Source organism: Homo sapiens, chromosome 14, assembly GCF_000001405.40.
Source record: "Homo sapiens chromosome 14, GRCh38.p14 Primary Assembly".
Taxonomy (NCBI): domain Eukaryota; kingdom Metazoa; phylum Chordata; class Mammalia; order Primates; family Hominidae; genus Homo; species Homo sapiens.
In genome coordinates, this window is record NC_000014.9 from 73,451,794 (window position 1) to 73,473,050 (window position 21,257).

Sequence of the window (21,257 nt, forward strand, 5' to 3'; positions counted from 1 at the left end):
TTTGCCTTTATTCAGAGCTAAGCAGTATTCTACAGTTTTTCCCTCTTCTTCCCTAATTAAACTAGAAATGTTCCAAATTAACTATAATTCACCTTAATATAATCAAGTTACCATAATTAAGATTTTGCTGTCCTACTCAGGTAATTGAAGACTTTGATCTTGGTTAAAAGAACGTAAGATAGCCTGAGCACGGTAGCTCATGCCTGTAATCCCAACACTTTGGGAGGACTGCCTGAGTTTAGGAGTTTAACAAGACCCTGTCTCTACCCCCCAAAAAAAAAACTGGCCAGGCGTGGTGGCTCACGCCTGGAATCCCAGAACTTTGGGAGGCCAGGGTGGATGGATCACCTGAGACCAGGAGTTCAAGACCAGCCTGACCAAAATGGTGAAACCTCATCTCTACTAAAAATGCAAAAATTAGCGGGGTGTGGTAGTGCACACCTGTAATCCCAGCTACTAGGGAGGATGAGGCAGGAGAATCACCTGAACCCAGGAAGTGGAGGTTGCGGTGAGCTAAAATTGTGCCATTGTACTCCAGCCTGGGCAACGAGAACGAAACTCTGTCTCAAAAACAAAACAAAACAAAACAAAACTGGGCAGCCTGTAGTCCCAGCAACTGGAGAGGCTGAGGCAGAAGGATCACCTGAGCCCAGAATGTTGAGGCTGCAGTGAGCCGAGATCATGCCACTGCATACTCCCTCCACGTCAAAAGAGCAAGACACCGTCTCAAAAAAAAGGAACGTAACTTATCAGCAAACAAGTGGGGAGAAACAGGGTTTTCGTGGGTAGAGAGGGGGAAGTCACTGAACGTTAATTACTAATATAGCAACTCCTTGGTTAATGCATTTAAGATGACTGGGGGTCTCTTCCTAATCCCATACTCCACTGGAGAGGACAAGTGGGAAAGGTTGGTCTAGTTAAGGTTGCTGGGGACCTCCCAAGAGCTGCAGAAGCAGAGATAAGAAGAGCCTTCTTCTAAATCCACATGGTCCTTCCAAGGCTCTCATCCTCTAGGACTACCACTTCTCAGTCTACTTACTTGTCTTCTGACATGCTTTCTTGAGGGGAAGAAAACAAAGGAAGAGTAATAACAAGCAGCAGAAACTGCAGAGAATGAAAAATAAGTCCATAGGAGAATGTTGCAAATAGAATCATCCTCCTTTACATATGTCACTCCAGGAAAACTGCCAAGAACCACTCATTCCTCTAGATACACTTCCTGTAGATCCTCCAGACTCCTCCCTTAAGCACGTCAGTATTCTCCTTATTCTCCCTTCATTTCAATCCTCCTTTTGCCTCAAGATTTCGAAGTGCACTTTTTTTTATGGTTTCTTTTTGTTTTGTTTTGTTTTGTTTGAGACGGAGTTTCTCTCTTGTTGCCCAGGCTGGAGTACAATGGCGTGCTATTGGCTCACTGTAACCTCCGCCTCCTGGGTTCAAGTGATTCTCCTGCCTCAGCCTCCTGAGTAGCTGGGATTACAGGTATGTGCCACCACGCCCGGCTAATTTTGTATTTTTAGTAGAGACGGGATTTCTCCATGTTGGTCAGGCTGGTCTCAAACTCCTGACCTCAGGTGATCCACCCGCCTCAGCCTCCCAAAGTGCTGGGATTACAGGCATGAGCCACCACGCCTAGCCTCAAAGTGCACGTTTAATAATCTCCAAAATATATGGCAATATTGTACCTAGTATTTAATGATATCTTATTTATCACTACCTGTGTGTTGCAGCTGAACATACATCCTAAAGCCCTGTATTGTATTTCTACCTCTTATAATAAAATTTATAATATGTTACATTACTAAAACAAATTTTCCTTTTTTTTTTTTTTCAAAACAAAGTCTCGCTTTGTCGCCCAGGATGGAGTGCAGTGGCGCGATCTCAGCTCACTGCAACCTCCGCCTCCTAGGTTCAAGCCATTCTCCTGCCTCAGCCTCCCGAGTAGCTGGGACTACAGTCGCGTGCCACCATGCCCAGCTAATTTTTTGTGTTTTTAGTAGAGATGGGGTTTCACTGTGTTAGCCAGGATGGTCTCGATCTCCTGACCTCGTGATCCGTCTGCCTCGGCCTCCCAAAGTGCTGGGATTAAAGGCATGAGCCGCCGCACCCGGCCCCTTAAACAAATTTTCTTTGCCACTAAAGGATGCACTATAATGTCAAGATTAAAAAAATAAGATAGCAAAAAAATTTTTTTTTAATTTAAGGAGTATATTGTTTTATTTCTCCCCAGCCCTATCAGGAAAACATAAAATGAGGGAGGGAAAAAGTTGGGCGGGGGGGGAACGGTTGAAGAACTATTGGGTACTATGCTCACTACCTGGGTGACAGGACCAATCATACCTCAAACCTCAGCATCACACAATATACCCATATAACCAACCTGCATATGTACTCTCAGAATCTAAACTAAAAGTTGAATTTTTTTTTAAAAAAAAAGGAAAAAAATCAGAGTTCAGAAATCTGCAGAATTCAAGATCTATTCTCTAGAAATCAAAACCTGTTACACACAACAGATGTGTTTTGGCAAGTCCAAAGTAAAATGTAGCTTTTCAAGTACTCTATTATATAAAATACTTTTTTAAAGGTAATTAGTTTAGGAAGTTTCGAAGCAAACTAAAAAACTAGATATAGGGGTTTTATACTTTTAGAGAACTAGATTTTCAGTTACCCACATTTCTATTAGAATTTATTGTACAGCGAGTTGGAGAGCAGGAAGCAGAAAAGTAGATCAGAGACTTATAAAACAAGACAAGGCTTCTCTGAAATAGAAAATAAACCTAATTAACTAGTGTTAATTGAACTTCTACTTTTTAAAATCACTTACCTAAATAAAACTTCAGTATGTGAAACTGAGTCTCACTAAATAGCACAGTTAGGATTTTGGGATTTAAAAACCACCATTTATTCAACTACAGACAACCAAATCCCACTGTAAAATTATTTGGGCAATCAAAGCTATTCCTAGATAAGTATAATCAGATGAATAATAAGTCCACTTATTAAAACCAGGTAATCAAACTGCTCAATGTTCTCAATTATGAAGAATGAACTTTTCTATTTGTCATATAGGATTTCTCATTCTTCCATCATTTGGTGTAGAACTGAATGATCTATATAAATGTACCATGACTTCAACAACAACTCTAGTGCTAAGAATAATCCACTGAACTCAATGCAAGAAATCAAAAGCTTTCCTTCTCGAAACTTATGTCACAGAAAAAAAGCAGTAAATTTATTTTGTGAAAAGTCTGCATCTGCTTTAGAACTCAGATATGCAATGGTTATATGCCTTGCAGTCTTCCAAATGAAAATAAAAATTTTAAGGAAATATAATCTGAAATAAAACTAAAAATTATTTTTGAGAGAGAAAAAAATAAACCAAAAATCCTGATGCAAAGCTATACCAACAGTTTCTTCACAATTTCATAAAACATTAATGAAGAGGTTACATAATCCCCTGGATTAAAGATTTTAAAGAAAGCTGCAAGGATCTCTTTCAGTTTTCAATACTGCTTCCTGTTCTTAACAGCCATAAAAACAGATCTAAATCAACTCCTAAATATAAACCATCTAGCTTTCAATGGAAGAAAAATCAAACCACGTACAGATAAAACATACATATTCTTTTTAAAAACACGCTGTAAATTACATTTAGGTTCCTCAAACAAGTTAAGTTTACAACATGTACCACATCCAGTTTATTCTCAAGGGAGAAAACCATTAAACAAAAGCTCCCTCTTAATAAATGATTTACTTTGTAGTTAAGCCTCTATCCCAGGTGCATTTTGCTGTCACATATTACCACTATTTCTTTTCTCTACAAAGACCTAGAAACTGTATATCTAGTTCCTTTAAAAATATCTGTATATGTTTTATATTAGTGTAAGGATAAGAAATACTTAATATTTTTACTCTCTAAAAAGGAAATATCTTTTCATTTTTCTCTTTTGCAGTGTTTCTTACTTTGTTTTTGCTTATTTTCTATACATGAAATTTTCTCAAGTCAGTCCATTTCAGTGTTGTTTACTGTCAATATGTCTGTGTATACTCAGGCTTTTACAAACAATGCTTTACGGTACAGTGATAAAAAAGAAAGGGTGAACAAGAGGGCACAAGTGAAACAAAAGCGGACAACATCTGAGAAACACCATTCAATTTCTCTGCCTCAGATTCCCTTAAGTTCTCATGCCAAAGATTCTCAATATCCAAAAAAGTTCCAGAGTCAGAGGCATAACACAATATGTGACAAGACAAACACAGGAGGAACCAAATCAGAAACTGAAGAAATTTAATGGAATATAATACTCCCAAAAAAACCTTTTTTTTTTTTTTTAAGATGGAGTTTCACTCTTGTTGCCCAGACTGGAATGCAATGGCATGATCTCGGCTCACTGCAACCTCCACCTCCGGGGTTCAAGCAATTCTCCAGCCTCAGCCTTCCAAGTAGCTGGGATTACAGGCACGCGCCACCACGCCCAGCTAATTTTGTATTTTTTTTAAAGATGGGGGTCTCACCATGTTGGTCAGGCTGATCTTGAACTCCTGACCTCAAGTGATCCGCCCGCCTTGGCCTCCCAAAGTGCTGGGATTATAGGCGTGAGCCACCGCACCCAGCTTTCAGACTTTTTTAACTGTAAGAAATATATTTTATCCTTTGGCCAGGAACTCAAAAAAAGAAATACACTTTACATTGTGACCTAGTACATACATGTAGGAGAAAAGTTTCCCAAAACAATACTTTTCCTTACCAAATGCAATGTCAGTTTATTCTGTTCTACATTTTATTTTCAATGCAGGTAAAAACTCACAACATTGATTTTATAAATTACTAATAAATCACAATCCACAGTTTGAAAAACACAGGCTAAAAATGAGTATCCTTTATAATAGGATCTTTTAGGCAATTTGCCTCTACCTGTCTCTTTAGCAGGTATTTTAAAGTTGCTACCATTATTACCGGTTTCATTAAAGTAAGTGGTTCTTAAAGTGTGGTCCTCTGACCAACGTGATCATCATTTGAGATAAATATAAATTATTGGGCCCCACCCCAGACCTACTGAAACCCCCAGGTGGGGCCAAGCAATCTACATTTTACCAAGCCCTCCAGGTGATTTTGATGCAAGCTAACATCTGCGAGCCAGGTCTTTACCTTCTATTTAAGAAGTCAGGTCTTTATCGTCTATTGAACAATCCAGTACACACGACTATGTGCCAGTCACTATCCTAAAAGCTCTACAAATACCAACTCACATGAAAAAAAAAACACCACCACCACCTTATAAAGTAGGAACTATTACTATTAGTATTCTGATGAGGAAACTGCACAGAAACTTAGCTAAGTGGTGGAACTAGAACTCAAAACTTCTTTTCACTTTAGCCGAGTATGCCTACCCTCTTTCTGATAAGTATTTACTTCTACTCCTTTAGTTCAGCTACTCCTCCCCTTTTCCCTCCCAAATTCCCCACCCTGTCAATGAACCTATTTCCTAATATTACTGCCATCATCCTAAAACAAATTTCTTTTCTAAAACAAGTCACTTAACCTTGCTTTTAGGAGCTTTGCTTTGGTCCTAGATGTCATCTTGATATTAATTACGAAACTGAAGTTTCTTCTATTTGTGAAGACCTGTGAACCTACATGGCTCCACTGTTAATTTCTCATATATCTACTGTCCTAGCCAGTTCCACGAAACCATTACTCTCTCCTCGGGCAACTTTCTTTCTCTACCTTATCCCCTCCTATAGGGATTCTCTCCCACCTCCGCCCATCTCCGTCCCATTTTGCATGACTCCTCTCCGACCGAGGGAACTTCCACTCCCCTGCTGGCTCCTCACCCCGGTCTCAAACGCGAGCCACTCCTCGAGGACTTCTTTCCTGGTCCCTTAGGGATCCTCAGAGCCGGAGCGGCCAGGCCAGTTGGGTCTCCCATCCCAGCTCAGCTATGGGGGCGCAGGGAGCTCCGGTTCTTCCCCCAGGCGGTGCAAGATCTCTACTCGTCCGACCCTCCGAAGACCTGCTGCTCCTCATCTCTCCAGGAGCCCCCTCCCTTGGACAGCCGCTTTTCTCAGGAGGGTCCCCAACCCCCTCCGAGCGTTTCCTCAGACGCCCCTACTTGGAGCAAGTCTGCTCCCTGTCACCCGGGACCCTGGCCACCCTCGGCCTTCCTACCTCCCTCGGACCGGGGCCACTCCCAGTTCCCCTGCCCCCCACCCCGCTCTCTCCTCACCGGCCGCTGCCGGGCTTCCCGGATTCCTTTTCTCCCTGGCACCCAAGCCGTCCTGGGTATTCCCAAGACACCCCGCCCTTGAAGCAGGTCGTTACAGGTCACCCCCTCTCTGGGACCCTGGCCGCTTCCGTTTCCTCAGATACCTACTCCTCACACAGTGGCCGCCGGTCAGCGCGCTAGACCGGAGCAGCTGGACGTCCCAAGGGACCTCCTGGCCTGACCCGCGCGGGTCCGGCCGTAGCCTACCTTCCTCGGGAGAACTCCGCAGCCAGAAGCCCAGCCCCTCTCCCCCTAGCCCAGTCAGCGCGAACTCGCCGCCGCCCCCGCCGCCTCCGCCCTGGCCCCGGCCCCGGCCCGGGCCCCGACCCGAAGTCCAGGCCCCCTTCCTCCGGCCTCCGCCTCCGGAGTGCTGAGCTGGAGATTCCGCCCCGCGACGGCCCCCAGATCTCTGACCCGCGTTACCGGCACTCACCTGCCGCTGCCCCCGACCAACTCAAGCGCCACTGCCTCTACCTCGGCCGCCAGTGGCCACCAAGCGCCACCACCTCCCCCATGACAACAGGCCCACCCTCTTTCATACTTCTAACCTATCCATTGGATAGTGGGGCGGCAGCTCTCCTCTCTGATTGGTTTAGTATACCCGCCCGTCATCGCTCTTTACCGCCCCTTTTCCTAAACCCGGTATTCGCCCCCGCCCGGACCTGGAGCGTCCTAGCCCAAGCTTTAGTTGTAATTGGTTGAGGGTTGGGCAATTCGAAGTTATGATAGGCTGCTAAAAGTGTCTGTTAAGCTAACTGGCAAGAGACGTGACGGTTAAGGTTGATTCACGCTTGTGCACAGTTTGGTTGCGCAGTAGAAAGCAAAGGAGGGGCAGACGCTCACATTCGTGGTTACCCGGGAAGGGTTAAGTCTTTGTTGTAGAGTTTTCTCTGTAAACTTTTCCACTTCTCCAGCTCACTTCCTGCAAGGAGAAGCTTATCTCTGCTAGCTTTATTCATAGGGGTAGTACTTACAAAACACCAACATTAGAGGTTGTGTTTAAGAAGTGTTTCCAAGCCCTGGGGAGAAAGGTATCAGAGAGATAAAAATGTCCCCTTCTTTTCTTTGGTCTCAATGCATCCAATTTCATTGAAGTTCTTTCCAGGAGCCTCAATGCTAAAGGGCAAAGCGCAAACTTTCATTTAGCAGAAATCAGTCAACTTCGGTTGCAATTATAAATGTCGTCAATAAACTGAAGTGGCGTATTGAGAGTTCTCCAGCTTCCAGATCCACTCCTGGCTGACCCCTGCCAATTGACCAGACAGCCATTAGCAACTTTTTTTTTTTTTTTTTTTTTCTGTGAGACGGAGTTTCTCTCTTGTTGCCCAGGCTGGAGTGCAATGGTGCTATCTCGGCTCATCGCAACCTACGCCTCCCAGGTTCAAGCGATTCTTCTGCCTTAGCCTCCCGAGTAGCTGGGATTATAGGCATGAGACGGGGTTTCTCCATGTTGGTCAGGCTAGTCTCGAACTCCCAACCTCAGGTGATCCGCCCGCCTCGGCCTCCCAAAGTGCTGGTATTACAGGCGTAAGCCACCGCGCCCGGCCAGCAACTTTCTAATAAGCGGGCCACATTATACCCTTTATGATGCTCTGGAAATGAGAATTCTGCTTTCCCCCACCTCTCACTGCCACTTTGTTTTTCTGTTCAGCAGTTCTTAAATAGCCCTACTAGCTGTGTGTCAGATACTTTAAAAGCTTCTCTCTCTCTCTCTCTTTTTTTTTTCTAAACCTCTTCCTAGCAGTCTAAATTAGGGCCATTGAATGAATTGCCGGGTTGTGTGTGTGTGTGTTTTTTTTTTTTCCTCACTTGGCACAATGCACAAGAATAAATGATTGCATTTTTTATTCACTTGGGTACAAATCACAGTAGGCATTTTTGAGAAATCTAATGTTGCTATAAAAACTCTTGTGCTCCTAGAAATATATTCATCATTAGCTTTTTGTTTTTCCTTTTTTTTCACCCACTTTTCCTGCTCCTAAATAACAAAATGCTGGTCTGATTACTCTTTCAGTTTCTAAATCAGATTTAAATGTACTTTCTCACAACCCCACCTATGATACATATACCCATGGGCCATGAAACAACACCCAGGGATAGTTTAAGACACTGTCAGGCCGTGCGGTGGCTCATGCCTGTTATCCCAGCACTCTGGGAGGCCGAGCCGGGCAGATCACCTGAGGTCAGGAGTTTGAGACCAGCCTGACTAACATGGTGAAACCCCTGTCTCTGCAGATGGTGCCACTGCACTCCAGCCTGGGCAACAGAGTGAGACTCTGTCTTAAAAAAAAAAAAAAAAAAAGACACTGTCAAGGAGGCATTCACCTCAAGGATGTGGACTTTGGAAATGTGCTTTGTCTCTTTCTTCTTTCTGCTAACCCTTTGTCTCATATTTCTTCTATTTACTAACCTCCTTGTTCTTTGCAGAGCAAGCTACAAAGAGTCTAAAACTGTATGGTTTATTATTCAGAAAAATATTGTCTTTTTTCTAGCCTATATTTTTAGTCAAGTTTAAATAAAGTACATACTTCTATCACCAGACTAAGCAGAAATTATTCCTCCAGTAACTATACATAACAATAAAGTGCCTTTTCCTAGTTATTTTCCGGAACTTTCCTCCCCCTCCTCTCTTCCTCACCTTCCAATTTAGAAATAACCTCCCATTCAATTCAATGACTCACAAAAAGCCTGTGAAAGGAAAGTGGAAAAGCCAAAATAACTTAGAGATGTCTGAATCATTCAGCTGAAGGAAAGATCAGACATTGACCATGATAAGATAGACGCCAAGACATAAGGCAAGCCTGAGCTAACATCCCATAACATGTGAAGTAATGCAAATGTGAAGATGCCCCAAGAAAAAGCAAATACCAATATGTCCTTTTACACAGCCTTTTAATATATCACCAGCAGCTTGCTTCTCTCTAGTCTTGGCAGTGTGCCATGCTACCAATTTTAGAGCAAGTTAGAAGACAATTAATGTCCTGACAGATAGGAAACAATAACGTCATAGGAGGACATGACCATTATTATGGTACTTTGGGTAATAATGGCTCTTGCACAGCCATAGTGACTAGGTGCCATAGAAAACATAGAATTAGGCCAGCCTTGCTAAGAGGACTTGCCATCTAAGTTGAAGAATGCAGCGAAATTACTATCACAAAACTGGGTGGAAAATTGTCACAAAAGTCAGCCGCTATTTCATACACTAAAAAAAAAAAAAAAAAGAAAGCATGTATAAATGCTTTTGCTCATATACACACATCTATCATTCCTATTCTTTGTGAATATCAGTTAAGAAAGGACATATAAAATAAATATGTTACAACCCAGTAAGTAGTGGGAAAACCTTAAGGAAGGTTTCAAGGAACATGCCTTGAAATAACAGAAGGCTATTGTGTTATCAAAGACTGTGCAGTACCGGAGGGGTTATTGCTTGTATCCCTACATTTTGCTTTCACGTGCACAAGGTAACCCTATCATGTAATTACTCCATCCAGCTTTTTTCTTTTCTTTCCTGTGTTTTTTGCTTCTCTACCATTCTCAGGGCTCCCTCTCAGAAAACAAGAACACTGGAGTCTGGGAGTCTGCAGCTTCCTGTTGCATGGCTGGCTGTGGAGGTCCTGCAGATGGTATCTGTTCAGAGCCACTTGGGCACGACCAAGATGGCAGGTACATTCGGGGCAAAAATAGCATTTATAATCCCAATTAAGCAGAAAATAGAGGACTCAGAGTGATGTCCAATATCTGAGGAGTGATATAGTGTGCCTTGGGCTTTCCTGTACACTAATGCTGTTTCTCCTGCTCTTTCATAATGTCACTTTTCAAGGGAAAAGAATCCAAGTCTCTTTCCATTTCTATTTTAGCCCACAGGGGCAATCTCACTAGGGAAAGGATCCATTTTTTGCTTTTGGATTTTCTTCCTCTGGATTCTACACACGATTCCAATTCCAACTAGATTAGAGAAATAAACAACCGGTGGAGAAGAAAATCGCTCAGATAGCAGACAAGGGCCAGAACTGCCTGCCACTAGCAGTTGGAGGCAAGCCAAAATATTTGATAAGAGGTAGCTTCCTGAGTTAGGGATCCCTGAGGGTGGAGGCTGACAAAGATGAAGGGATTAGAGAGAAGGGGAGGGAAAAGGAGGGAAGAGGAGGAGATGAGGGGGCAGGAGAGAAAAGGGTAAGAAAAGCTAGAAAAACAGTCAAAAAACCCAATCAGAGTGCTGAGCCAGCTTACAGTCCTGCCTTGCCTACCCCCTATCCCCACCCATGTGGACTTTACACTAGGTTGCATAATTACACCAGCAAAGTGCAGCCTCTGCCACTGGTTAAAAGGGAAAGCGTGCCAGGCTCCAGCCTATGGGACCGTTGTTCTGCTGCCACCTGGAAATCCTCCCAGAGCTCAAAGCCTGCTGCTCTGGGCAAAGCTGACAAGGAAGGACAGATTCAGCAGCCAACCAAGGAGCATACCTTCATTTGATTTCCTTAAGGCAAAAGCACTGGCTAAACAAAGGGAGACTATCTGGGAGAAGGTGTTTTCACCCTTTCAAGCTGGGGTGCTTTCACCACCGGGAAGTGCCACGCTGCTTTCCACGCTGGAACAAGGTACTGTGGTTTCAAAGTTCAAGGCTCTGTTTCAGGGATGGGAAGGAAAAAAAAATCAGTGAAAGAAGGTGTTCTGGTCTCTCAGGCAGAACCATTTGTTATTTGATTCCAGAGCTCATGTAATTTTTAAATACCACACTATGCATTTTCATTACTAAATGCATTCATTTTCATCCTCAAGAAAAGTGTATGCCCCCTTCCGCCTGCTTTACATAATATGGCTTGAGCGCTTGTAAAAATGGATGGGCTGTAGCTCTGAGTTCTGCCATTGTGCTATTGACTGGAGCTCCTGGTTACTATCACCAGATCTATGGGTGGATCAGCCATTCTTCTGCAGCAGGGAGTGGACCGACTCAAAGCACTTAGCACCATTTAAACTTTTGTCCATCTCTGTTTTTATGCACACAAAGAGTTTCCTGGAAACATGGCTATCCTCCAAGGATTTCAGAGAGTAGAATTCTTCCAGAACTGCAGTGTCCCAATCACTTGGAACCTCATGAGAAAGCAGACTTAAACTCAGACCCTAGAACCTCGAACTTAGTATGTTCCAAAAGCTTTGGCTCTGCCATTTACCAACTGTGTAATTTGGGGAACATTGATTCATCACCCTAAAGCTTCATTTTCTTCATCTATAAAATGAGATACATATTAGCTATCTTGTCTTGCATAACAAATTACCCCAAAACTCAGTAGCTTAAAAGAACGTTTATCGTCTCAGTTTCTGTGGGTCAACTCTCTGGCATTGGGTCTCTTATAAGACCACAGTCATCTCAAGCTCAGTTGGGACAGATCTGCTTCCTGCCTCACTCACCTCGTTATTGTTGGCAGGACTCACTTCCTAAGGCCTTGGTTCCCCAGGAGCTGTTGGCCAGAAGCCTCCCTCGGTGCCCTGCCTCATGGGCCTCTTCGTTGAGCATCTCACAACGTGGCAGCTTACTTCATCAGTGCAAGCAAGCAAGAGCAAGAGAGAGGACTCACCAGAGACAGTAATAGCAAAACAGAAGGCACAGTCTTTCGTAATCCAATCACAGATGTGACATCCCATCACTGTTGCCACATCCTGTGAGTTAGAAGTAAGTCATTAGGTCCAGCCCACACTCAAGGAGATTACACAAGGATGTAAAGACCAGCAAGAGGATCATTGGGAGCTATTTTAGAAGCAGCCTACTCTAAGATAATAATAACATCTAGGGTTTGTTTAAAATTTAAATTAGAGACTGCATGGTGGCAGCTACTTGGGAGGCTGAGGTGGGAGGCTCACTTGAGGCCAGGGGTTTGAGGCCAGCTTGGGCAACATGGTGAGACTCCTCCATCTCTTAAAAAAAAAAAACAAATATATGTGTATATTTTTAAATATTCAAAAATCAAATTAGAGAATATGTTCAATTCGGGCCAGCATATGTTATGTAATATATAACTGTTATATATAATAACTATTATTACCATTAATATTATTATTGACTATATAATGGCTGGTTTTCTCCCCTAGCTCCTAGAAGGAACCCTTTTATGAGGAGTAAATGAAATAATATACATAATTCAGGACCTGACATGTAGTAAATGCTCAATAATCATTAGTTATTGTTAACATTATTAATAGCCGGGCACGGTAGCTCACGCCTGTAATCCCAGCACTTTGGGAGGCCAAGGCGGGCGGATCACAAGGTCAGGAGATCGAGACCATCCTAGCTAACACGGTGAAACCCCATCTCTACAAATACAAAAAAATTAATTGGGCATGGTGGCGGACACCTGTTGTCCCAGCTACTCAGAAGGCTGAAGCAGGAGAATGGCATGAACTCAGGAGGCGGAGCTTGCAGTGAGCAGAGATCACGCCACTGCACTCCAGTCTGGGCAACAGAGCGAGACTCCATCTCAAAAAAAAAACCAACATTATTAATAAACATGTGATATTTGATATTCTCTCCAAGCTACTGGAAGGAAATACTATGAACTCTCATTACTTTTCCAGGGTGGCCTTATTTCCATATGTTTTGTTCAGTTTTTCCATTAGCACCCTATACTCACCAGAGCACAATTCTAGATTTGGGGTTCATAAAATATGACCACCAAATCCATAACACAGTCTAATTTCCTGCCTGCCCTATACCAAGAAGGGTATGCACAAAACCAGCAAAATGGGCTAATTATGGCAGCACCTCCTATATGCACAAAAGTCTGAGCCTGGCCCCAACCAGAATCCAGACAGAAGGGATTGTGCCTGGGAGAATGAACAGAGACTTCGCTATGTGACCTTTGTCCCTTTTAAAATATGGTCATCATTGTGCAGTCTACTCAGTCAATCCTCAACTAAGAATGAGAGAAAGAGGGACCTACACAGGCCCTACAGATGGGATAAGGGTGTCCAAGAAGACATTTTCACACCTGGGTTGGAAGTAATAAGAACCCATAAAAATAAAGAGCAATTTTGCAATTAGAAAGTTGGAAGAAGAGAGTCCAGTTTGCAACATGAAAGAAAGATCATAAGAGGCTGGAGTCACCCTTTAGGGCTGGGTTGAAGCTGTCTTCCTTATAAAGGTGGAGGATATTGAGGGTTGGCCTGTGGCCAGGAAAAATGAGGAACTATAATCAAGAAAACCCCATTATTTTTGCTTTGAGTCATTTCTCAGGGCTCACCCATAATTATTACATAAGAAAGACAGAAAAAACAAAAACCTCCTAAAGTGTAAATGATCCTTAAACTAAAAACACCGTAGAAATACAAAGATCCAGGCCGGGTGCGGTGGCTCATGCCTGTAATCCCAGCTACTTGGGAGGCTGAGGCAGGAGAATCACTTAAACCCGAGAGGCGGAGGTTGCGGTGAGCCGAGATAGCACCATTGCACTCCAGCCTGGGCAACAAGAAAGAAGAAACTCTGTCTCAAAAAAAAAAAAAAAAAAGAAAAAAGAAAAGAAAAGAAAAGAAAAAGAAAAGAAAGAAATACAAAGATCCAAGTTTTTGCAACTTATCTGTCTCTCTCTCTCTCTGTCTCTGTTTCTTCTTCTCCCACCCATATTTGCACATGTTCTTTCATTTCTTTTCCGCACAGAAGAAAACTACCCTTACAAGGAAATGCCTTAGGATCCTCCAGGCTGGAATTGTTTTCAGATCAGGAATCATCTTCTCTAGCAGTCTCCACTGCAGCTCTACAGGATTAGAGCTCAGTATTCACAGATAATGACAGTTTACACCTCTCCCTCTAAATCAAGTCACCTGTGCAGCTGTGATTTAAAGAGTTCGGATGATTTTCTGAGCTGCACTAGCCCTGGCCCTTTCCTCTCCCGAAATGTTCCCAAACATTACCAGATTTGTACACAGAAAGGCTCAAAGCAGAAGTTGCTGGGAAAGTTCTGTAAACATGAAGGGGAGATGTACACCAATATCAAGTTCCTCTTCCTGTGGCTCTGGTTTTCTCTCCTTCCTATTCTCTATTCTGTGTTTCCTCTGTGTCTGGGACAGAGGAGACTTGTATGTTTCCATACCTGTTAATAGCCAGAGAAAACTTTGTTCGGTCCCTTGGCAGGTTAGCGGATTTTAGAAGGGAAAGACAGGGTAAAGAGATGAGGACTCGCCCCCAGGAAGTCTGACTATACAATAGGAATGGTGTATTTATTTATTCAGCCCTTTCCTACACTGCAGTCATTTCATTTCACCCTCAGGATGTGTATTTAGTGGTAAGCTTTCTTTCTTTTCCTGTTAGTTTCCTGCAAAAGGACATCAGTGTCTTCCTCATTGGAGCAGCTGATAAGAAGGATGTTGTTGCTCAAATAGAGACAGAAAAACATATTTCCTATCACAGACCCAGGCCATCCCAAGGGCATGGAGAATTAGACCAGGTTGTGGAAATAATAGAAGAACCTGATTTTCATGCCTATTTCCCTGGTGCCATCTTCCTCCCTGAAATACTCTGCAATAATTACACCTTCCACTTAAGTAGGATTTCACACTTTTCCAAAGTAGCATCACGTTGTACGGAAGTAGAGTTGGCTGCACTGTAGCTGGCATAGCCTATTAGTTACTTTGGAGGGTTTATATGAAGAGGCAACTTTGGGTTTAACTTTAAGTTTTGGGGAACTCATACAAATAGCATAGGTTTACCCTAAGTTGGATTCCATTTGCTAGCTCCTGCCTCTCCTACAGATCTCATCTTCAAAGTTACTATTATAGGGGAGGCTTCCTGTTATCCCTCTCCCAGCCACATTGAGTTGGGTGCCCCTCTTATACACACTGCATTTCCACTTTGGATACACATATCCCGTGGGTAAACTTGCTCAGTGCCTAGCCATCCAGCAACATGTCGGCACTGTAATACCAGGGACAACAACCTTCCTGCTCATGGCTGCCTAGCATAGGGCCTGGCCCACAGTAGTTCACTAAATATTTAGTGAATGAATGAGTGAGTCAGGAATTGTCTCTAGGAGTAGCCTTGCCACCTGACACAATCACTTATTTTGGGGTAGTGCTCTGGGAGTTATAAAAAAGGCCTGTGCTAATTATCACATAATGATCACCGGTGGTTATAGTATTTAGTAGGCAAAAGCACAGTGGTGGAGTATGACTAAATAAAGGTCTCCTCCAGGTGGGGGGCTATCCCCGCACTCTGAATTTGGAACCCCACTGCCCATCTCTCTTGGACTCCTGTGGACAGGGTCATTCCTTTGGGAAATTCTTTTCGGAGTTGCCAACACTGGGGAACAGGGAGAATTAAGCTCCATTTCCCCAAACTCAATGAAGTCTTTCTGATATGAAAATTAAATTAAAGAACAAGGCCAGTGGTGGCCCTCTGTTGCTTTCCTTTCAGCCTCTGAGACAGATTTCCCCATCAAGGGTCTGCGCTGAGTCATCCCGCCTCCAGCGGAAACAAGTCAGCAGCACCCTGAGGATGGGTGATGGAGGTAAAGACTCATCCTGCTAATCTCCTCCTCCCGCGGAGGCCAAGGTTCATGGTCTTGGCCCCCTCCCTGGGAACAAAAAGGCAACCCAAGAGAAAAGACTCTTCCTTCCCACTCCTCTCTCTCTTACAAGCTCATGGTCTGTGGCTCCTCTTTCTTCTGCCAATGGAAGTTGAGGATAGAGAGAGAGGAGGAGGAAGAAGAAACCAAAGGGCACAGGACTGTACTTTGCTGGCTGGGGGGAGGTGGGACACATGGGTGGGGGGTATGAATTGGGATGAAGGATGACAAGACATGAAGAATCCTTGGAGGTTCTCCAACAGTTCTCACATACAGAACAGCTAAGGCACAGCCCAGTTGCGGAGACACCAGGGAACCCAGAAATGTAAATAGTAGGAGGTGATGACAGCAAAGAAGCAGGCAGATCTGATACACAGGCCCCTACACAGAGCTACGCCCTGTGGGAGAACCACAAACTGCCTAAGACTGGGTAGCAAAGAGAGAGAGAGTGGGCGTTCAGTGTGAGACCTTGAATCAGAGGCCCACACTCTATATCTAGCTCAGTCTCCAATTTGTGGGGAGGACCGGGGTGAAAGATGAATGTCAGAGATGTGGCTTCATCAGCTGCCTATGGGATGGGCACATGTTTAGGAGATACTTTGAAATCTCTAGATGAAAGGAAATGCCAGAAAAAGCTATCATTACTTTGAGGGCTGATCATAGAGCAGCCGGAGCATCTTTGAGCTCCTATATTGGAATCAGAGTCTACAGTATTTTCATCTTGGGCGGACCAATTCCTGAAGACCAGTTTTTTAATAGCATCAATTGAGAACAGGGTCAATTGTGAGGTCCCTTAGGAATACAACCAGAAATCTCATCACTGGAGTATAGAAATTTCCAACCAGGCTCCAGCCAGTTATCTATGCAGACTGATTCTAGCCAGGCCTAACTTGCCTAGGGTGATGATCTACAGGCTATGACCTGATGACACTTCTCCCTTTCTCTCCTCTCTTTCTCTCTTTCACGTGTGCATAAGGCAACTTAGAAACATTAATTCACCAAAGAATACTTGGAGATTCCCAAATGATCACCCCAATTGTGGCTCTTCATCTCCAAACACTTAGCCTTTTTTTTTTTTTTTAAAGGAATGTGATGTGCTTAAACCAGATCTTTTTTCTTTCTATTTGGCAGGTACATAGGCACATGACCCTAGTATTTTCCTTCTCTATTTATTCCCTTCTATACTTTACCACAAATACTTCCACTTGACTCCCTCTTCTGGTCTCTGTTCTATGAACCATCTAGATTATCATTCCAAATGAATACATTTGTGTTTGAGCCCTTAAATGCAAGAATATTTCCCTTCCTGGTCTCTCCAAAGCTAACAGGCTAACTAGACTCAGAACAGGACTTTAATCTAAGCTGGCAATAAGTGCTTACCTGTCCTGAATGACCTAAGCTGCAATCATCCTGGGTCACAATCATCAGAGGAACAGATATTATTTTTCTCCTATTGCACGAAGTGGACAAAGGTTGTCTAGATGGTGCAGAATGGATCTCGATAAAGCCAGAGCTCCTTGTGAAATAAGAAAAATCTCAAGAATGGGCATGTGACTGCTAAGCAAGCTCTGTGGGAGAGCTCAACCTATAATATTACAAGTGGCATGCGTAAGATCAACATGAACTCATCTCTCAAATCCCCAAATCTTAGGTTTCAATGTCTCTTACAAAGTTCCAGGAGAGTTAAGCTTAGGACCAATATAAAGGAAGACTACTCCAAACTGTAGGTAGTAAATGCATGGCACTCATTACCCAGGGAGGGAATACAATCAGAATACAGAAAAAAAATCAGGGCAACATTTATGAATTGCAGAGCCATATATGAGTAAAACTGGATGGATCTTGAACTACTCATTTTCAACCCTAGTCCTATGTGAAAGTCTCATGTCTCTCTCCTAGGTCCTAGTATTCCAACTCAGTAGGTTGGAGTGGGGTCTGTATATAGTTGCAAAGCTCCCCCAGGTGATTCTGATTTATAACCAGGTTTGAGGACCACTACTTGAATAACTTGAATAACCTTTAACCTGCTGGATAGGTCTGACCCAGCCTGGTCATCCTTACGGTCCTAATTGTCAAACTGCTTGGTTGATGAATGACAACTCAAACAGATACAGCTGTATACCTGCAACATAAGAACAAACTCCAGAGCAGTCATTAGACCCTGAATCTACAGATCAAATCAAGCAGTATAATAATGCTCTGGTCCCTGGCTCATTTAGAGTCTTCTCCAAGATCTCTAAGTCTTTCCCACCTTAGGGATGAATCAGCGGAGGCACTTAAAACAAGGTACTACTTTTGGAAGGAAATATTCAGATTTGCTTATAAGAATAAGATGCAGACTTCTTTTTTCTTTTCTTCTCTTTTTTTTTTTTTTTTGAGATGGAATCTCTCTTTGTTCCCCAGGCTGGAGTGCAATGGCATGATCTCGGCTCACTGCAGTCTCCACCTCCTGGGTTCAAGCGATTTTCCTGCCTCAGCCTCCTGAGTAGCTGAGATTACAGGCAGGCACCACCACGCCCAGCTAATTTTTGTACTTTTAGCAGAAATGGGGTTTCCCCATATTGACCAGGCTGGTCTCGAACTCCTGACCTCAAGTGATCCACCCACCTCAGGCTCCCATATTGCTGGGATTATAGGCATGAGCCGCCGCGCCTAGGCAGATGCAGGCTTCTTTACATATTTCTGTCACGGCTCTTTTTGCACAATGTTTAACACAGTACTAGGAATTCGTTTATTCAGTAAACATTTATTGATTAAAAATTAGTTACATACCCAATGCCAATAGTTTGTTGCTGAGGATATAAATAATTAAATAAGGCAGTGATAAAACAGACCAGATGTGATCTCTAGCTTCTTAGTTACCTAATAAGCTCTCAAAAATATTCTTTTATCATAGTGGCTGGATACAGTGTAAAACTCTACCTAAGGGTCATCCTACCCTCTTAGGAACACAACATTTAAGTTCTTTCGAAGACCGAGCTACCCTGGGGCCAAGAACAACTATAAAAAAAGTGCCTACCTTTTCTTCTCAAATGTACCTACAAGTGAAGGTTAAAAATGAACTTCTGGCTGGGCACGTTGGCTCACGCCAGTAATCCCAGCACTTTGGGAGGCCAAGGCAGGCAGATCCTGAGGTCAGGAGTTCAAGACCGGCCTGAGCAACATGGAGGAAACCCCCGTCTCTACTAAAAATACAAAATTAGCCGGGCGTGCTGGTGCATGCCTGTAATCCTAGCTACTCAGGAGGCTGAGGCAGGAGAATCGCTTGAACCCAGGAGGCAGAGGTTGCAGTGAGCCAAGATTGCGCCATTGCACTCCAGCCTGGGCAACAAGATCGAAACTCTGTCTCAAGAAAAAAAAAAAAAGAACATCTGGAGAATGAGAACTATGCTATATTCATCTTTGAATTTCCAGTACCAGGTACAGTACCTTGCACATAGTAAGTGTTCAGTGTTTTAAATTTTTTTTTTTTTTTTTTGGAGACAGAGTCCCACTCTGTCACAGGCTGGAGTGCAGTGGCGCGATCTCAGCTCACTGCAACTTCTGCCTCCCAGGTTCAAGCAATTCTCTTGCCTCAGCCTCCCGAGTAGCTGGGGCTACAGGCATCTGCCACCACACCCGGCTAATTTTTTGTATTTTAGTAGAGATGGGGTTTCACCATGTTGCCCAGGCTGGTCTCAAACTTCTGATCTCAGGCAATCCACCTGCCTCGGCCTCCCAAAGTGCTAGGATTACAGGCGTGAGCCACCGCGCCTGGCCCAGTGTTTTTAAATTTTAATTAATTAATTAATTTTGAGACAGGGTCTGGCTCTGTCACCCACGCTGGAGTGCAGTGGCCCCATCTCGGCTCACTGTAACCTCTGCCTCCTGAGCTCAAGTGATCCTCCCACCTCAGCCTCTGAGTAGCTGGGACTGCAGGCATGTGCCATCATGCCTGGCTAATTTTTGTATTTTTTTTTTTTTTTGGTAGAGATGGAGTCTCACTATGTTGCCTAGGCTGGTCTTGATCCTCCCACCTCGGCCTCCCAAAGTGAAGTAATTGCAGGCATGAGCCACCGCACCCAGCCTGTTCAGTGTTTTTGAATGAGTGAATGAATGAATGAAGCTGGAATCCCAGTTCTGCCACTAACTGTGTATCTTTGTACAAGTCACAGATTATTTGTAACCCTTTTTTCATGACTGGGATAACAACTACCTTGCTTATTTGTTGTTATGTGACTGGAGGTCATGTGTTCTAAGAATCACTGGCAGCTGGGCATGGTGGCCTGTAATCCCAACATTTTGGGAGGCTGAGATGGGAGGATCACTTGAGCCCACAAGTTTGAGACCAGCCTGGGAAACAGAGGGAGACCTCATCTCCACAAAAAAATTAAAAACTAGCTGGGTGCGGTGAGCGCGTGCCTATAGTCCCAGCTACTGGGAAGGCTGAGGAAAGAGGATCATTTTTGAGCCCAGGAAGTCAAGCCTACAGTGAGCCATGATTGCACCACTGCACTCCAACCTGGGCGACAGAGTGAGACCCTGTCTCAAAAAAAAAAGAAAGAAAATTGGCACTCTGCCTGGCATTCAGCAGGTGCTCAACAAATGGTTGTGGTGATGCTGTATGGTTGTTACTCTGAGAACGGAGAAGCAGAAGCTTCCAAGAACCAACTTGTATGGTCAAAGTGACATCTAGTGGTAAAATTTTAGAACACACACCAAAAGCACAGTCAATTGCTGGTTTGAAATTTAAATTGAGGAATGACTAGGAACTAACAGGGCACCTGATTTACATAAGTACAGTAACATTATTTAATTCTCACCAGTGATTTTTTTTTTTTTTTGAAACGGAGTCTCACTCTATCGTCCAGGCTGGAGTACAGTGGCGCGATCTTGGCTCACTGCAACCTCCGCCTCCCAGGTTCAAGCAATTCTCCTGCCTCAGCCTCCCATGTAGCTGGGACTACAGATGCTGGCCACCACGCACGGCTAATTTTTGTATTTTTAGTAGAGATGGGGGTTTCACCATGTTGATCAGGCTGGTCTCGAACTCCCGACCTTAGGTGATCCTCCTGCCTCAGCCTCCCAAAGTTCTAGGATTACAGGCGTGAGCGACCGCACCTGGCTTCACGAGTGATTTTCAATCCTGGATGCAGATTAGAATGACGTGTGAAGCTTTAAAAATCTACTGGTGTCTGGATCTCACCCTTGGAGACACCAATTTAACTTGCAGGAGGTGTGACTCAGGCTGTCACATTTTTAAACTGCGATTTTAACATGCAGCCTGGTTGGGAACCACATGCAAGAGACCCATGAGATAGTCTTCTTCTCGTTTTACAAATGATGAAAGTAAAAGTCAGAAGGATAAAGTAATTTTCACAAAGTCACACATTTATTATTAGCAGTAGGTTATTTGAACTTGCATCTACCATTTTCCCACAATACCACGTTGCTT

General features: G+C 43.7%; 1 protein-coding gene and 1 long non-coding RNA gene across 6 annotated transcripts in view, besides 8 other annotated features; both read right to left on the bottom strand.

Annotated features, from left to right (window-relative positions):
• Positions 1-6,753, bottom strand: part of NUMB (NUMB endocytic adaptor protein) — a 183,331-nt gene extending 176,578 nt beyond the window's left edge. For 4 of the 5 annotated variants that reach the window (NM_001005745.2, NM_003744.6, NM_001005744.2 and 1 more), the window contains exon 1: positions 6,700-6,753. The gene's annotated coding sequence lies outside the window, so the exon portion shown is untranslated. Of the gene's footprint in view, positions 1-5,835; positions 5,941-6,699 lie in introns of all 5 variants that reach the window. The other variant, NM_001320114.2, reaches the window with a different exon arrangement.
• Positions 409-468: an enhancer, noted in NCBI's record as "active region_8697". NCBI's record gives its function as "activates an Ori minimal core promoter by ATAC-STARR-seq in GM12878 lymphoblastoid cells {active_cell/tissue: GM12878}" and the evidence as "EXISTENCE:reporter gene assay evidence [ECO:0000049][PMID:35858748]".
• Positions 6,477-6,606: a silencer, noted in NCBI's record as "silent region_5908". NCBI's record gives its function as "represses an Ori minimal core promoter by ATAC-STARR-seq in GM12878 lymphoblastoid cells {active_cell/tissue: GM12878}" and the evidence as "EXISTENCE:reporter gene assay evidence [ECO:0000049][PMID:35858748]".
• Positions 6,617-6,706: a silencer, noted in NCBI's record as "silent region_5909". NCBI's record gives its function as "represses an Ori minimal core promoter by ATAC-STARR-seq in GM12878 lymphoblastoid cells {active_cell/tissue: GM12878}" and the evidence as "EXISTENCE:reporter gene assay evidence [ECO:0000049][PMID:35858748]".
• Positions 6,897-7,096: a silencer, noted in NCBI's record as "silent region_5910". NCBI's record gives its function as "represses an Ori minimal core promoter by ATAC-STARR-seq in GM12878 lymphoblastoid cells {active_cell/tissue: GM12878}" and the evidence as "EXISTENCE:reporter gene assay evidence [ECO:0000049][PMID:35858748]".
• Positions 7,082-7,615: an enhancer, noted in NCBI's record as "H3K27ac hESC enhancer chr14:73925581-73926114 (GRCh37/hg19 assembly coordinates)". NCBI's record gives its function as "activates a minimal SCP1, AML or CMV promoter by ChIP-STARR-seq in naive H9 embryonic stem cells {active_cell/tissue: H9 hESC(naive)}" and the evidence as "EXISTENCE:reporter gene assay evidence [ECO:0000049][PMID:30033119]".
• Positions 7,616-8,149: an enhancer, noted in NCBI's record as "H3K27ac hESC enhancer chr14:73926115-73926648 (GRCh37/hg19 assembly coordinates)". NCBI's record gives its function as "activates a minimal SCP1, AML or CMV promoter by ChIP-STARR-seq in naive H9 embryonic stem cells {active_cell/tissue: H9 hESC(naive)}" and the evidence as "EXISTENCE:reporter gene assay evidence [ECO:0000049][PMID:30033119]".
• Positions 9,142-11,849, bottom strand: LOC101928143 (uncharacterized). Its single transcript, NR_135251.1, has 3 exons — positions 11,682-11,849; positions 10,736-10,896; positions 9,142-9,471 (listed from the first exon to the last, which is right to left on the bottom strand). It is a non-coding gene; the product is annotated as an uncharacterized LOC101928143 (long non-coding RNA).
• Positions 11,798-11,887: an enhancer, noted in NCBI's record as "active region_8698". NCBI's record gives its function as "activates an Ori minimal core promoter by ATAC-STARR-seq in GM12878 lymphoblastoid cells {active_cell/tissue: GM12878}" and the evidence as "EXISTENCE:reporter gene assay evidence [ECO:0000049][PMID:35858748]".
• Positions 13,148-13,377: an enhancer, noted in NCBI's record as "active region_8699". NCBI's record gives its function as "activates an Ori minimal core promoter by ATAC-STARR-seq in GM12878 lymphoblastoid cells {active_cell/tissue: GM12878}" and the evidence as "EXISTENCE:reporter gene assay evidence [ECO:0000049][PMID:35858748]".